General features: G+C 42.6%; 6 annotated features.

Moving 5' to 3' along the window:
• Positions 6,320-7,519: an enhancer, noted in NCBI's record as "MED14-independent group 3 enhancer chr10:3935366-3936565 (GRCh37/hg19 assembly coordinates)". NCBI's record gives its function as "activates an origin of replication core promoter dependent on BRD2, BRD4, P300/CBP and CDK7 cofactors, and independent of MED14, by STARR-seq in HCT116 cells {active_cell/tissue: HCT116}" and the evidence as "EXISTENCE:reporter gene assay evidence [ECO:0000049][PMID:35650434]".
• Positions 6,320-7,940: a biological region, named in NCBI's record as "MED14-independent group 3 enhancer GRCh37_chr10:3935366-3936565".
• Positions 7,423-7,940: an enhancer, noted in NCBI's record as "H3K27ac-H3K4me1 hESC enhancer chr10:3936469-3936986 (GRCh37/hg19 assembly coordinates)". NCBI's record gives its function as "activates a minimal SCP1, AML or CMV promoter by ChIP-STARR-seq in primed H9 embryonic stem cells {active_cell/tissue: H9 hESC(primed)}" and the evidence as "EXISTENCE:reporter gene assay evidence [ECO:0000049][PMID:30033119]".
• Positions 8,406-8,577: a silencer, noted in NCBI's record as "fragment chr10:3937452-3937623 (GRCh37/hg19 assembly coordinates)". NCBI's record gives its function as "represses an EF-1alpha promoter that drives an FKBP-Casp9 reporter gene in an ReSE screen in K562 erythroleukemia cells {active_cell/tissue: K562}" and the evidence as "EXISTENCE:reporter gene assay evidence [ECO:0000049][PMID:32094911]".
• Positions 15,276-16,324: an enhancer, noted in NCBI's record as "amplified fragment containing the chr10:3944320-3945370 (GRCh37) CAGE-defined region". NCBI's record gives its function as "transcribed enhancer in B cells {active_cell/tissue: B cell}" and the evidence as "EXISTENCE:reporter gene assay evidence [ECO:0000049][PMID:24670763]".
• Positions 15,547-15,836: an enhancer, noted in NCBI's record as "active region_2917". NCBI's record gives its function as "activates an Ori minimal core promoter by ATAC-STARR-seq in GM12878 lymphoblastoid cells {active_cell/tissue: GM12878}" and the evidence as "EXISTENCE:reporter gene assay evidence [ECO:0000049][PMID:35858748]".

Consider the following 16,431-nt stretch of genomic DNA (forward strand, 5'->3'; position numbering starts at 1 on the left):
TAGCACAAATCATATTTCCTGATGACGAGCAGAGACCTTGATCTGGTCTTAAAGAACGCGTTTTCCAACTTACCCTGGGACTTTTTTGAATTAGCCGGCCACATATACCAGGGTTCTCAGAGGATTTTTTCCCCCCTTTCTCTCTGTCTCTTTCTGGGTTTTTCCTATTACTAATTATACAGGCAAGAAGGTAATGATTTCTGGTGTTCTTTCCTTTAAACCTCTACTTTGAGATCAGCAGCCCGGGACACAGATAAATAGGTCAGTTATTACTGACGTCACAGGGAACTCCTGGCTCAGATTAACCGCGCAGAGATGGACGCCTGTGAGTGTGTGCAAGGGGTGATGAAACATAAAGTACAGTCAGTTCATTTAACAACAAATTCCAGCAACAGATGATAGATAAAAATAGATCCTGAAGGATCTATGTAGATCTAAATAGATGATCCATGAGCCACATAATTAGGGAATAAAAGGACTCCAGTCTTTACCAGCGAATGTAAAATTGGGTAGGCAGACTCAGACCCTTACTTATCAGTGGATTCCAGCCCTAATTCCAGGAGGCCTCACCTCACCTTGGGGGCTTCTCTTTTCCTTAACCTAACTGGTTAAGCCAGGAAAGCTGTGAAATACCTTAGTTACTTGGTGAAGAGCCATTATTACCAGATTATTATCACATTCTCAAAAAGCTTTGCTGTGAGCTGGGCAGGTGCGGCGGCTCACACTTGTAATCCCAGCACTTTGGGAAGCCAAAGTGGGCTTGGGGCCAGGAGTTCAAGACTCAGCCCAGCCAACATGTGGAAACCGCATCTCTACTAAAAATACAGAAAATTAGCCGGGCATCGTGGTTCATGCCTTGTAGTCCCAGCTACTTGGGAGGCTGAAGCACGAGAATCGCTTGAACCTGGGAGATGGAGGCTGCAGTGAGGTGAGATGAGGCCACTGCACCCCAGCCTGGGAGACAGAGCGAGACTCTGTCTCAAAACAAAGAAAAAAAAAACTTTGCTGTGTTTCACATTTTAAAAATTTTATTTTCCATAGTCTCCGGTTCCCAGACATTTCCTGAGACTCCTGTTCATTCAAGAGAGGTGGAGAAAGCCATAAATGAGAACAAACCCGTCCTTCTCACTAAGGGGAATTTCCTGGCAAAACGGAGCCTGGCACGTCAGTGTCTGGGGTTAGTTACTATCACCGCTGCTCTGGGACTGAGTCACAGCTTCCTCCAAGGCTTAGGGTGCCCCAGACACAAACTAGTTTTCTAAAACTTCTCAAGGCATTCCGTTCCTCCTTCGTTCCAGCCCCTCATGTTATTAACTCACCTAATTCATCACATGGGCATTGTGTACAAAGGCACTCTGCTACTCACTGAGGATACACATTGTTCTTAACCTCAGGGGACATTCCTCAAGGAATTAACCAAATCAGGAGATCCTTACCTGCAGGGGTCAGACAGGGAGCTGAGGACAGCCCCCGGAGGACAAGGTCCTGAAGGCCTGGTTTGTAGCTTCTGTGCTGTGCTTATCATTGGGCCTGGCACATTGATCTCTCCATAAACTCGTGTAACTTAAATGAATGATTGAGTCAGAGCACAGGGCAGAGAGCTGTTTTGGAGGCCACTTATCTTCATGTCATAGTTACCCAGACATAAGACCAGAGGCGTTCCCTTTGGTCTCATATATACATATATGTATTGTATTTTTCCCTAAAATTATTCCTTTGTATTATTTTTGCAATTATAAATGTATATTTGCAATCTGAAATGCTGAGTTTCTTTTTTACATCAGGAGCAAATATCCAAATTTTCTTTTGTTTGTTTGTTTCTTTCTTTTTTTTTTTTTTTCCTGAGACAGGGTCTCACTCTGTCATCCAGGCTGAGGTGCAGTGGTGCGATCATGGCTCACTGTAGCCTTGAACTCTCCAGGCTCAGGCGAGCCTCCTACCTCAGCCTACCAAGTAGCTGGGACCACAGACACACACCACCATGTGCGACTAACTTTATTTATTTTATTTATTTATTTTTGAGATGGAGTCTTGCTCTGTTGCCCAGGCTGGAGTGCAGTGGTGAGATCTCGGTTCACTACAACCTCTACCCTCCTGGGTTCAAGCGATTCTCCTGCCTCAGCCTCCTGAGTAGCTGGGACTATAGGTGCACCCCACCATGCCTGGCTAATTTTTTGTATTTGTAGTAGAGACAGGGATTCACTATGTTGGCCAGGCTGGTCTCGAACTTCTGACTGCGTGATCCACCCACCACAGCCTCCCAAAGTGCTGGGATTACAGGTGTGAGCCACCACACCCGGCCAACTAGCTTTATTTTATTTTATGTTTTTTTGTAGAGATAGTGTTTCGCTGTGTTGCCCAGGCTGGAACTCCTGGGCTCAAGTGATTCTCCCACTTTGGCCTCCCAAAGCCGCCCAAAGTCCTGGGATTATAGGTGTGAGCCACTGTGCCCAGAAAAAAATTTCCTTTTTACTTCTGTACCCAGAGCTGACCTTACTTAAGCTGTGGAAGATAAAAAAAAAATCACTACAGTATTAGTGGCCTCAATTGAAGCAGTTATTTCGAACTAACTGAAATCGGAAAAACAATTTCTTTTTACTTCTGTACCCAGAGATGACCTTACTGAAGCTGTGGAAGGTTAAAAACATCACTACAGTATTAGTGGTCTCAACTGAAGTAGTTATTTTGAACCAATTGATATGTATATATTTTATTTGTAATTTAGAAAAATACTAATAATTCTGTCTCTTAATATATGTTGGGAGTAGCAGCTCTTAATGAATTGTTAGTAACGCCCTTCACTCCCATCCCCTACACCCCTGTCTTACGTACAAGTTAAATTAAAGGGGTTGATAAACTCACTTTTCTGTCGTTTTATTCAGCTCTAAATGCTCTGGTTATTTCAGAGCTCCTGGCTTAAGGAATTAAGATTCTCATCAGATACATAAACAAATGAGTATTTCTTTCCAAGATCAAAGCCAACCTTTGTTTTGACGATCGCTTTTTATAAAAACAAGTGGTGTTGATTTTTGTACACATTGTCTCTTTTTATTGTCTAACATCATAAAAATATTGCTGCAAAAACAGCAGAAATGAGTTGAACCCTGCTGGCTTCACATTTCTCCAGGAAGTTTTTTTCTGAATGTGCCGTGCACTGTCCCATGCTCAGCTGATACGATTAGAAAGAATTGCCCCCACCCACTCTCCCTGCACCCATCCATCCCTCAATCCTTTTTTTGTCACAGACTCTGGCCAGAGAGGAATGTTTTGCTTTCATCTTGATGCATACTGTCCTCAGGAATGTTTAGCAAGAAGAGGGGGAAAAAAGTTTCATTCAAGGCCAGGTGATCTCAGAGGCCATTTCCCACAAATGACCAGACCTTGACTTTAGCTTTCTCTTTCCTTATGCCGGCCTTCTTTGATAGCCTCCGAATGTCCTCATGAGCTAATGAACCATTTCAGTGAATTTTGACATCAATAAGACAATTACTCAACTTCTAAACCCTCCTCTCTCAGCCTGTTGTCCTCTTGCCTCAGGAGGAGGCTACTGACAAATGGACCTGATTGCACCTGTGTTTTCTGGACACAGTATCAATCCACATGGTGCTTTTTTTTGGGGGGAGGGGGGCAGGTTCATAATATAAGGCAAGGTTCAAAACTGGAGGACTTTACATACACATCTAGATTTCTATCTTTTCTTGAAAACCCTGGAAATCTGGGAAGACTAGATCCAAATTTCCTTGATTGGAACAACTGGCCAGAGTTGAGTTCTCACTACACTTTGCCACAGTCTCCAGCACTCCCTACAGCCCTGCACTGAGGCTGATTACCACTTGCCAGTCACTGGGATGCTTCTACACCTGTGTTTATCGCTCCCAAGCTTCACTTCTCAGTACATAATCTTCTTGGCCCATGTTAGCATTTGAGTTTGCAACCTCGACTCAACATCATATTTTCTTCATAAAATGGTAGCTTTGTCAGAGGTGTTTGAACTAGGGCGACTCCATCTTAAATAGAGAGTGGATAAAATAAGGCTGAGACCTACTGGGCTGCATTCCAGGAGGTTAGGCATTCTAAGTCACAGGATGAGATAGGAGGTCGGCACAAGATACAGGTCACGATAAACCTGATAAAACAGGTTACAGTAAAGAAGCCGGCCAAAACCCACCGAAGCCATAATGGCGGTGAGAGTGACCTCTGGTCATCTTCACAGCTCATTATATGCTAATTATAATTCATTAGCATGCTAAGAGACACTCCCACCAGCACCATGGCAGTTTACAAATGCCATGGCAGTATCCGGAAGTTACTGGATATGGGTCTAAAAAGGGGAGGAGCCCTCAGTTCCAGGAATTGCTCACCCCTTCCCTGGAAAACGCAGGAATAATCCAGCTCTTGTTTAGCATGTGATGAAAAGATAGCGAGTATCCTTAGATGAGCCACCCACGCCGCTGCTCCGCCTATGGAGTAGCCATTCTTCTATTCCTTGATTTTCTTAATAAACTTGCTCTCACTTTACTCTGTAGACTTGTCCTGAATTCTTTCTTGTGCAAGATCCAAGAACCCTCTCTTGGGGTCTGAATCGGGACCCCTTTCATGTAACAGCTTTGAGGGTTTTTGTAGAGATAATCCAATTAAATTGCATTACATTTTCTTAACCTGTGTCACAGTAAGATAAGATTCTTTGCCCTGTCTTTTACCAGTAGCCACCTGGTATCATTGGCGTCACCTTTAACACCTAACAGGGGACCTTACCCATAAACATCATTCCATCTACATTTTATAAAGCATTCTTCAAATGCATGAACTTATTTAGATCTCAGAACTTATTTAGACAATTCAGAAAGGGAAGTTTCATCATCTCTAGTTTATAGATGGGAAACTCAAGTTTAACGACAGTAAGTTGCCTGAAGTTAATCAGTGATTTGAAAGGATGAGATTTGAACCCAGAAGACCTGGGACTGACAGCCCACAACTTGATCCCAGGTCTTCTGGCTTCAAACCTCACCCTCTTTCTACATTAAGATGTTGACTCCTTGATAAATTCTGGTCCAAACAGTTCTATATGTATTATTGTCAAGAAAAATAGGCACTGGCTGGGTTTTGTGGCTCATGCCTGTAATCCAGCACATGGGAAGCCAAGGTAGGCAGGTCACGTGAGGCCGGGAGTTCAAGAGCAGCCTGGCCAACATGGTGAAACCCTGTCTCTATTAAAAATACAAAATGTAGCCAGATGTGGTGGTGTGTGTCTGTAATCCCAGCTACTTGGGAGGCTGAGGCATGAGAATCGCTTGAACCCGTGAAGCAGAGTTAGGTTGCAGTGAGCCGAGATTGCAGCACTGTTCTTCAGCCTGGGCAACAGAGCGAGACCTTGTCAAAAAAAAGAAACAAAGAAAGAAAGAGAGAAAGAAATAAAAAGAAAAGAAGAATAGGTACCTAACCAGCCTTCTGGAAGTGTCCAGCTAGATGTTTTTAAAGACAAAGATTATAAGTATTTAATAACAAGGCAAAAAGAAAAATTACTATAGAGAGTGGCTTCTGGGTTTAGGGAATCTTTGCAATAATTTATCAGAGAACGGACAGCATTCATACCACTGTTACCATATATGCTTCTGACTTCATGCATATTTTCATGGTAACAGAGTGGTATGAATGCTGTCACTTCCTTGATAAATCATCACATGGCAAGTCATGATTTGATGGTGGGAGATAAGGAGTGTGCTTACTTTTTGATGTTCATGTTGGTATTACAATAGAAATTTTCCTTTCCATATATTTTTCTGGATAGCTCTATATTTGGTTGCTAACTGGTGGTGAAAACAAACTGATTATAGTGTTACTACCTTTCTTTAGCCAGTTTAAAATAATGATAACAAGCTAGACTTGGGAGGGCTTACTCTGCATGTGTATTCAGCTGAGACCTGTTTTGGTTGCCCACATCTTTATATCTGTGTGAAGGTGTGAGGTTTCCAAGCAAAAGGTGGCTGCAGTTAATTTGCTCTCAATTGCCTGTCACCTTCTGTGCCTCAGTGGCCTGTCAGGGCCCTAAGGAGAAGGAGAGCTGCTTTCCCAGAGTGGAGGGCTCTGATTTCCAGCCCTCCAGCAGCCTGCCCTCCACCACTCCCTGCGTGGGAGCAGATCTGATGTGCCAGGTTCCCTCCGGGGCATCCACCCCTGCCGTCTCGGGGATGGCTTCAGTTGTTTCTGTGTCAACGGTTTCCTCTGAGGGCCTCTGCTGTGTGGCGTTACTTCTCAATTACATGTGCCCGAGACATTTTCCCTTCTTTTTGACATTTCAGAAATGCCATTTGATATGTTAACTGACGCTGTTATTTTGGCTGGAGCAATTTATAAAAGGTGTGTTTCTTTCAACTTCTGCTTTCTCCCAGGACAATCACTTACACACTGGAAAGCTTTCTCTGGTCGTGTGAGACTGCTGTGTGTGACACTGTAAAACAGCAATGGTGACACTCTCAAGGTGGTTCTGTAGAGTAGAATATATACATATATTGATGAGTTTCAAATATTTAAAAAAAACATATTTTGTAAAATCATTTACCATAAAGGAGAAAAAAGCAATTCGTGTGATGTCCCCAAGCCACCAAATTCGTGATCTAATTCATTTCTGGACAATGGTTCTGAATAGAATCATGAGGAAGGAATAGCTTAATCAATGCTTTTATATGTCCTCCCGGAAACTGAATTTATACCAACCCATTCTCTTGCAGAAGAGATCAAGTCATCCATTTGAACTTTCTTTTCAATTTCTAGCTTAATATTAAAAAAAATACTTTTTGCAGGAATCCTTTCTTGGCTTGAAGACCCTTGGGTTTATTCGATCTGGTCATGGATCTCTGTCCACAGGGAAAAGTGTTCTTATGACCCATATTCCAGCCCTTATCCCCCTGTTTTCTACGAGAACATCACAGCCCCTAAAAAAACAAATTGTGTGAGGAACCGCAGTAAGAAGATTTGAAAATGAAGGGAAGAGTTAGTTGAAAGCCACGTCCACAAGTATTTACATCGAGGTTAAATGTTAAGAAATTCCCTGACTGGGACTTTTTATAATTGCAGTGAATTAGACAAAAATAGATTTCAGTTTAAAAAATGGACGGCTGACTTTGTTCATCAGTGGAACTACATTTAACATGATGGACTAGAAGTGAAAATCCTAAAGGGGGAAATATAAATTGGCTAATTTGTGGTTGCAACCTGACATTCTAAAGACAGAGGAAAATGAAGTCAACTTGCCTGTAGACAGCTGGGTGATGTGGTTTTCAGCTGTTGTTTAACCTTCTCAGTGTTTATCACTGTATATGGACTGTTTACCCTTTTCTCTCTTTCTGCTTTTTCTCTTAGGCATTTATCTGATTTCTTACTTTCCTAAGAGCCCCTCCCTGCCTTTTCTCTCACTTAGCCCTTCTCCTCAAAGCCCTCAGTATTGATGTGGGATTGAGGAGACGGGATCAGCGATGGGATCGGAGAGGGCTGGAATCTGTTTCTGGTGGAGGGAAGGTTGCATCAGCCACTTCCCTCGGCTCCCGTAGAGGCCATTCCTAGCGAAGCACGTATGTCTCACTGTGAATCCAAAACAGAGGTGCTTAGAGGAGATTTACTCCTTCAGTAATATATCCACTAAAAGGTTCAGCCATATGCCGGGTCGAGCAAGTTAAAAAAAAAAGAAAGAAAAAAAATGTTGACTGGTCCAGCCTCTGCCATTGTGATATGTACAGATATTATTGACAGATTCATATATAAACCTCTGAGTTCCCCTGCAGAAAAAGCTACTTTGGGCTGGGTGTGGTGGCTCATGCCTGTAATCCCAGCACTTTGGGAGGCCGAGGTGGGCAGATCACTTGAGGCCAGGAGTTTGAGGCCACCCTGACCAACATTGTGAAACCCCGTCTCTACTGAAAAAATACAAAAATTAGCCAGGCATGGTGGCATTGACCTGTAGTCCCAGCTACGTGGGAGGCTGAGGCAGGAGAATCGCTTGAACCCGGGAGGTGGAGGTCACAGTGAGCCGAGATCGCGGCATTGCACTCCAGCCTGGGCAACAAGAGTGAAACTCCGTCTCAAAAAACAAACAAAAAAAGAAAAAAGAAAAAAAAAAGTTGGAGTGTGTGGTCTAGGGAGGAACGTGCTATTCCATGTCCTGTTTGCATCGCTCCTTGCTTATCTCAGCTCTACTATGACTTTTCTGTTATTATTATTGTTACTGTTATTTTTGGGAGGTAGTGAGATGGCTCTCCAGCCAGCCTGTCTTGCTCCTATCCTGGCTGTATCCTTTCCTAGCATGTGATGTTGGATGAATCACCTGGTAAATCTGTTATTTCATAAATGCTGATTATTAACACTGGTTCCTCCTCTAAGTTCTCTGCTATTATTCTCCCTTTCCTGCCCCTGCTTATCATTCTTGTGCTACATTAGTCTTATTTGTCTTCTCACCAGTGGCTAAGACATCTTATCCTTTGACTAATTGTCCTCAGGGTGGCCCGCCCCCCCACCCACCCCGCCCAGCTGACTGCATGGCCAGAGCTTTATTTATTTCCTTAAGGGCACTGACGTCCACGAGCTGCTGTCCTCTTCTGAGTTTCCTGTCACCTTGGCTGGAGCGTGACTGCTCAGGGAATAGAGCATCTCCCATGTTTGTCTCCATTGCCAGTATCTAGGGCCTAATGTAGAGTATTACAAAGAAGGAAAGAAATGGATGAATCAGTGAATGAGTAAATTATACATTTGCTTTAAGCCACAAATAATGCACATTTGGAAAGTGTTTGAGGCAAAATGTTTCTGAAGCTGCTTATGTGCCTCATAAATTATCTTTTTCCGATGACTAATGTGGCAGTTTACTTGACTGGCCATAGATATTATTTTATTTTATTTTACTATTTTTTCTTATTTTTCTTTATTGAGACGGAGTCTCGCTCTGTCGCCCAGGTTGCAGTGCAGTGGCATGAACTCAGCTCACTGCAACCTCCATCTCCTGGTTTCGAGCGATTCTCCTGCCTCAGCCTCCTGACTAGCTGGGACTACAGGCACCCACCACCGTGCCCAGCTAATTTTTTGTATTTTTAGTAGAGATGGAGTTTTGCCATGTTGGCCTGGCTGGTGTCGAACTACTGACCTCAGGTGATCCACCTGCCTCAGCCTCTCAAAGTGCTGCGATTCCAGGAGTGAGCCACCATGCCTGGCTGACGGGCCATAGATTTTTAAAAAGAAGTTGCGGAGGTCTAGAGTCCCAATGGGAAGATTGGTGGTGTTTTTCTAACCTTCTTCATCTCGAGATAGCAGAATCTGATAATTGCAGTTTATATATTCCCGTGTTTTGTGGAAGGCAACCTATGCATTCAATCAGAGGTGGATTTTCCACGGAACTAAAGCAGCTGTGGGGCCTCCCTCAGGAGCTCACATGGTCATACGTTGTATGTATTTCTCAAAAGTCACGTAACCACACTGGCTAAGGTCACCGTTTCTTTTCACTTTGACTTACCCGCACTGCAGCCGGTGGTGGAAGCTACAGGGAGCTTTTGGGGCCTAACAGGAAGTTAAGCTGGGATTATGCCATTTTAGTAGCAATTGAGAAAGCCATTGTGGAATGTTTCAATAAAGTGAGAAATTCCAAACTTCTAAATTTGTGACTTTAAATGATACCGTTTTTAGGCATCCTTAAAGTTATATGCAGGCCAGGTGTGCTGGCTTATGCCTGTAATATCAGAACTTCGGTGGGAGGCCAAGGTGGGAGGACTGCTTTAGCCAAGGAGTTCGAGACCACCCTGGGCAATGTAGGGAGACTCCGTCTCTACAAATTAATTAAAAAATTAGCTGGGTGTGGTGGCATATGCCTGTGGTCCCAGCTACTAGGGAGGCTGAGACAGGAGGATCACCTGAGCGCAGGAGGTTGAGGCTGCAATGATCATGCCATTGCACGCCAGCCTGGGCCACAGAGTAAGACTCAGTCTCAAAAGTAAAATAAAGTAAAAGTTATTTACAAAAGAACTGAGAGCAAGATCAGATACAAATCAATAAAACATGAAACAGAAGCAATAGGAATAACGACATCTGTAGAAGTTATTCTCACGCAGAGAAGTAAATTGTACAAGAAGGTTTAGGATCATACTGAAAGTAGCAATTTACTGAAAAGAAAAGATAAGTTTCAAATAGGAAGATTAAACAGTAATTTACAACTAGTTATTACACACAAATAATGAGATGCCCTGACATTTTTAAAGTTAATGTGTGAAAGAAGTTGATGGTAGTTTTCCCAAATTCGACCAGGAACCTCAAAAATTTATCTGATACTATCAACAAGAAGCTGTAAAGCTGAAAGTTACTTCTGTAAGCTACGAAAAACTAGTTTCGGATGACAGCTACTGTGGGAAAAACGGAATAATCTCTCTGCTATCTCTTGAAAAGGATGTTACAAAATCATTGACACAAAGAAGCACTCAAAGAATGGGTCACTAAAAGCTATAGGAAAGTTGTGTTCAAAATACACCGGGCAGTGACTGAATCAAGTATTATGTAATTCTTCTGGAATTTGTGATGCTTACGGTATTTGTCATCTTTATAACATTCATAATTTATTTTGATTTCTCTTTCCCCAAAAATGATGACTTTCACATTTGTATTTTGGATTCTTGTTGATAAAATGAGACCCTTAAGGTATATAAGCATCAGGCGCCACAAATCCTGGATCTCCTATTATTTTACATGCTCTCTATTTCAGATTTTTTTTTTTTTTTTTTGATGGAGTCTTGCTCAGTCACTTAGGCTGGAGTGCAGTGACACCATTTCGGCTCATTGCCACCTCTGCCCCCAGGGTTCAAGTGATTCTTCTGCCTCAGCATCCTGAGTAGCTGGGACTACAGGAGCAGGCCACCGTGCCCAGCTAATTTTTTGTATTTTTAGTAGAGATGGGGTTTTGCCATGTTGGCCAAGCTGGTCTCGAACTCCTGACCTCATGATCCGCCCGCCTTGGCCTCCCAAAGTGCTGGGATTACAGGCAGGAGCCACCGCACCCAGCCTCCATTTCAGATTTCTGATGGCTGTACTCTCATTGCACTAATATCCGTGAACTTGAGAAACTTTACATCACTCTTCCACAGTCTCTAGTCAACTGTTAATTATGTTTTTAAGCCTGTGTGAAAAAGTTCCATTTCTTTTTTAAAGGAGATTTCCATTTGTATTAATGTTGACTAAACTTCTTTCGGAAGACTGCAGTGATCAAGGAAGAGAAAAGCTAATGTAACATATGAAAATTGGGTTGGCACATATTTAAAATAATGCATATAAATTATGGGAACTTGAATATTGACTCATCTGGGTAGCAAATAACACTATCAAAGAATTCAAGTCACAGAATAGGCTATCATTCCAAGTATCTGCCTACTTTGCAGAAAGGAGTCCTAGATTAGAAAGGGTATTATGCCTGGGCATGAGCACCAAGACATGGGGGCTCTGGGGGTCATCTTGGAGGCTAAGGTGTGTTCTCCACAGTTCAGCCATTACATCACAGTAAAGTGGAAAGGTTGCTTCTAGCTCCAAATCCTTCAAGGATGTCCCATTTTGCTCAGAGCTTGTATTGCCTAGAAGCCCTGCACAATCTGTCCCCACCCTATGCACCATTGTTACTTCTCAGATTTGATCTCCTATTACATGCCCCTCTTTAAATATTATATATATATATATGTATGCTTTTTTTTTTTTGGGGGGGGACAGGGTCTCCCTCTGTTGCCCAGGCTGGAGTGTAGTGGTGTGATCTTCTCGGCTCACTGCAACCTCCACCTCCCGGGTTCAAGTGACTCTTCTGCCTCAGCCTCCTGAGTAGCTGGGATTATGGGTGCTCGCTACCATGCACGGCTAATTTTTGCATTTTTAGTAGAGACAGAGTTTCAGCATGTTGGCTGGGCTGGTCTCAAACTCCTGACCTCAATTAATCCACCCACCTTGGCCTCCCAAAGTGCTGGGATAACAGGCTTGAGCCACCCGCCCGGCCCTCTTTAAATATTTCTTCCTCAGAGTCTTTGCCTCTGGCTGGAATGTTCTCCCCTTGAAGACACCTCCAGGTCTTTGCAGACATCTGCTTCCCTTGTCTGGCCCTGCTATGCAGCTCTGTGCTTTATCTACAGCCATGGCATAGGAAGCAGCCTGAGACATGACACGGCTGCCTCATGCCCAGCTTGTTGAGTACCACGTGACCTCCCTGCAGGTAAGGACATTTGTCTGCATTATTTTCTGCTTGCTCAGGACCTGGCATGAAAGAGGCATTAGATACATATTTGCTCTTCTTGCATTTTTTTCATGATTAGGCATATTCTGTTTTGGCTCCTTGTAGAGCTCTTGGATTAGGTTCAATTTGCTAAACGTGTAAACCTATAAATTTTAGGATGCTTTTATCCAGAGCTGTTTCATTTCATCATCTTTCCAACCCTGGGAAGTAAGGGCTATTATATTATTATTATTATTATTATTATTATTATTATTATTATTATTCCTTCTTTACATTTAAGGAAGCTGAGGCCCAGAGAACTTCACAGCCAAGACCCAGCAAAGCCAAGCTGATGCTTGGATCTTTGATTGAAACTGTGCTCATTCCACCTCTTTATACTGCCCTTTAGAAAGGGTCAGTGATGGCCGGGCCTGGCAGCTCATGCCTGCAATCTAAGCACTTTGGGAGGCTGAAGCAAGAGGGTTTCTTGAGCCCAGGAGTTTGAGACCAGCCTGGGCAACATGGCAAAACCCTGTGTTTACAAAAAAATACAAAAAGTAGCCAGCCATAGTGGTGCACATGCCTGTGGTCCCAGCTACTCTGGAGGCTGAGGCAGGAGGATTGCTTGAGCCTGGGAGTTGAGACTGCAGTGAGCCATGACCACACCCTGCACTCCAGCCTGGGCAACAGTGAGAGACCTTGGAAAAGAAAGAAAAGAAAGGAAAGAAAGAAAGGAAAGAAAGAAAGAAAGAAAGAAAGAAAGAAAGAAAGAAAGAAAGAAAGAAAGAAAGAAAGAAAGAAGGAAGGAAGGAAGGAAGGAGGGAGAAAGAAAGAAAGAAAAGAAAGAAAGAAAAAGAAAAGAAAGAGAAAAAAAGAAAGGATCAATGAGATGGTAGCACTTTGACACACTTTTTTTTTATTATGCACTTTTTTAATTGAAGATAATTAGGAAACTAGGAAGAAAAAGCAAAATTAAATAAAATAATTGTAAAACTGAATGAGAGTTAGCTTATGAAGAATCAAAAGCACTTAACCAAGACACAGCGTAAAGACGACTGAACTAGGCCGGGCGTGGTGGCTCACGCCTGTTATCCCAGCACTTTGGAAGGCTGAGGCGGGTACATCATTTGAGGTCAGGAGTTCAAGACCAGCCTGTCCAACATGGTGAAACTCTGTCCCTACTAAAAATACAAAAATTAGCTGGGTGTGGTGGTGGGTGCCTGTAGTCCCAGTTACTCAGGAGGCTGAGGCAGGAGAATCCCTTGAACCCGGGAAGGGGAGGCTGCAGTGAACTGAGATCACGCCACTGAACGCCAGCCTGGGTGACAGAGTGAGACTCCGTCTCAAACAAACAAACTAACTAAAAAACCCACTGAACTAAAAGTCAGGATATGTGGTTTAAGGGCTAACTGTTCTTACATAAAATATACAACTTTGGAAATTGTATTCACACTTGCTGAGCCTTCGGTTTCTTATCTATAAAATGGGGTTAAAAATACCTACTTCATTGGCAGGCCATGGTGGCTCATGCCTGTAATCTCAGCAGTTTGGGAGGTACAGGTGGGATGATTCATTGAAGCTAAGTGTTTGAAATCAGCCTGGGCAACACTGCAAGACCTCATCTCTACTAAAAATAAAAAAAATTAGCTGAGTATGGAGGCACATGTCTGTAGTCAGCTATTCTAGAGGCTGAAGCAGGAGGATTGCTTGGGCCCAGGATTTGGAGGCTGTAGTGAGGTATGATAGCACCACTGCATTCCAGCCTGGGGCACAGATTGAGACCCTGACTCTAAAAAAAAACCACAAAAAATACTGTGTTCTATGCTCATTCCGTGGGTGACGGGATTTTTTGTGTCCCAGACCTCAGCATCATGTAATATACCCGTGTAACAAATCTGCACATGTTCCCCTGTATCTAAAATAAAAGTTGAAGAAAAAACAAAAAAAAATCTACTTTATAAAAGTGATTATGTGAGAACATAGTGTGGAAAAAAACATTTTAAATTATATCCCTATATGAGTGTAAGGCATCACTGCCATAACTTTGAAAAATAGTGTGTTTCACCTAGAAACACTGAACCTCCAAACAATCTAAACATTTAAATGAATGTATTTCAAATCCATCTATGTGAAATTTATAAAATTTATAATAGTCATGTAATGACCAAATTATATAGAGACTTATTAGTCAGATCAACCAATACATATTGAGTTCTCATTATATTCTTAACAATATGCCAGTTTCTATGTTGGGAATCAAAGAAATATACACTCCCAGTCTGGGTGTAGTGGCTCACAGGTGTAACCCCAGCATTTTGGGAGGCCAACATGGGTGGATCATTTGAGCCCAGGAGTTTGGGACCAGCCTGGGCAACATAGTGAGACCCAGTTTCTACAAAAAGTACAAAAACTTAGCCAGGCATGGCGGCACATGCCTGTGGTCCCAGCTACATAGGAAGCTGAGGTGGGAAGATCCCTTGAATCTGGGAGGATGAGGCTGCAGGGGGCCACGATTATGTCACTGTGCTCCAGCCTGAGTGATAGCAAGATCCTGTCTCAAAACAAAACAAAACAAAAACTACACTACCAGATCCTTTCCATAAGAAAATTAACAAATGACTACACATGTACTTATACATTCAAAATAATTTAAGTAATGAAACATTATATGAGAAAGTATACATTTTCCCCTTGATTTATTAATGCTGTCAACATTCAATACATGTCTGTTACAATTAGCTCTTGTGTGTGCTCTTACATTTGTGAGTCCAGCACCACACTTTCAGTTCAACGTACTGCTGGGACACAGGATTCAGGTGCACTACTACCAAGCGGGATCTTGATTTAGATGTCCTGACTTAGCAGTCAACTCCCTTTAACAGGACAGGGTAAAAGTGCAGTCTGTGTCAGCTCTATTAGATTTCCTCTTAATTAGCTTATTTTCACACAAAAAAATAGTTACGAAGAATAGTGTACAGTTTGGATAACTTTAAAAGTTATGTATCAGGTTTGGTGCAAAAGTACCAAAAATGGTGGTTGGTTTTAACCTCAATTACTTTTACACCAACCCAATGAAATGTTTGCTCCCATGACCCAGTGAAGAGTTAGGGCATCATCTTATTAGGATATCGCTCAGAAGCCTGGCCACTCTCTGGGCATCATACTCCTGAAAGAAATGGTCTTGCGACATCTACTGTTTTGGAATTAATTGACAGCAATGCATAAAGGTTTGTGTGGTTGATTTGTTGTACTGTTCTTCATTTGAGAATGAATTATACTATCCAAGGAATATGTTGAAACAAACTGGACTTTTTTTTTGTTTGGCAACCTATATCGTCAATCATTATAAGCACAAGTACATTCAAGAAACCATCAGTACTGTCTGTGAGGTTCTGCACACACTTTCCAGGGGATGCAGGCTCAGGGCTGGGCCATCAGGGGTCCTTCATCAAGAACAAGGGTGACCTCACAGAACCTTTTCTAAAAATTCTCTCACGGAAAGTCCCTTTTCTGTTTACACCTCTTGATTCCTCTTTGGCCTCTTTTGTTTCACAGCAAAACAGAAGTAGAAAGAGGTGCTCTCGTGACGGCAGTGCCACGTCGCTTCACAGACCTTTTGTGCTGACAGCTCCCTGGCCACTAATTAACTTCTAAGTATTTATGTTGGTGCAAAAGTCATTGAAAGTAATTGTGGTTTTTGCCATTTAAAGTAATTTTTGCCATTTAAAGTAATGGCAAAAACCACAATTACTTTTGCACCAACCTAATATTTAAAAGGCAGAACACCAGTTTTTGATAGAGTAAAATAATTAATAACACTTCACTGTAAATATTTTTCTCCTGTATTTCCTAGCACTGGATGAGTGTCTAGCCTCTGAGTCAGCTTTTACTGACAGTTCAAGCTTGGTGGAAAATAACTTCTAAAGAACAAGGAAACCAAATAGCATATGATTCCTAAGCAGAAATGAAGGGATTTTAATACAAAGTAGTTGATGTTCAGAGATCACTGGGACACAGTGTGATCCAGAATGGAAGTGGAGTTGGAGTCATGTATGTGAGGATGGGAGAGAAAGAGAGGATCTAGAGAGAAGGGGAGACAGTGAAGGATGGCAGAACAAGCGCATGCCAGGGAGGGTGAGCACACTGAGATACTCAGGACAGGGGCGCTTTAGGGGTACAGTAGCTGCCAGGCAGCAGATGGAGTACGGGGACTTGAAGGG

Source organism: Homo sapiens, chromosome 10, assembly GCF_000001405.40.
Source record: "Homo sapiens chromosome 10, GRCh38.p14 Primary Assembly".
Taxonomy (NCBI): domain Eukaryota; kingdom Metazoa; phylum Chordata; class Mammalia; order Primates; family Hominidae; genus Homo; species Homo sapiens.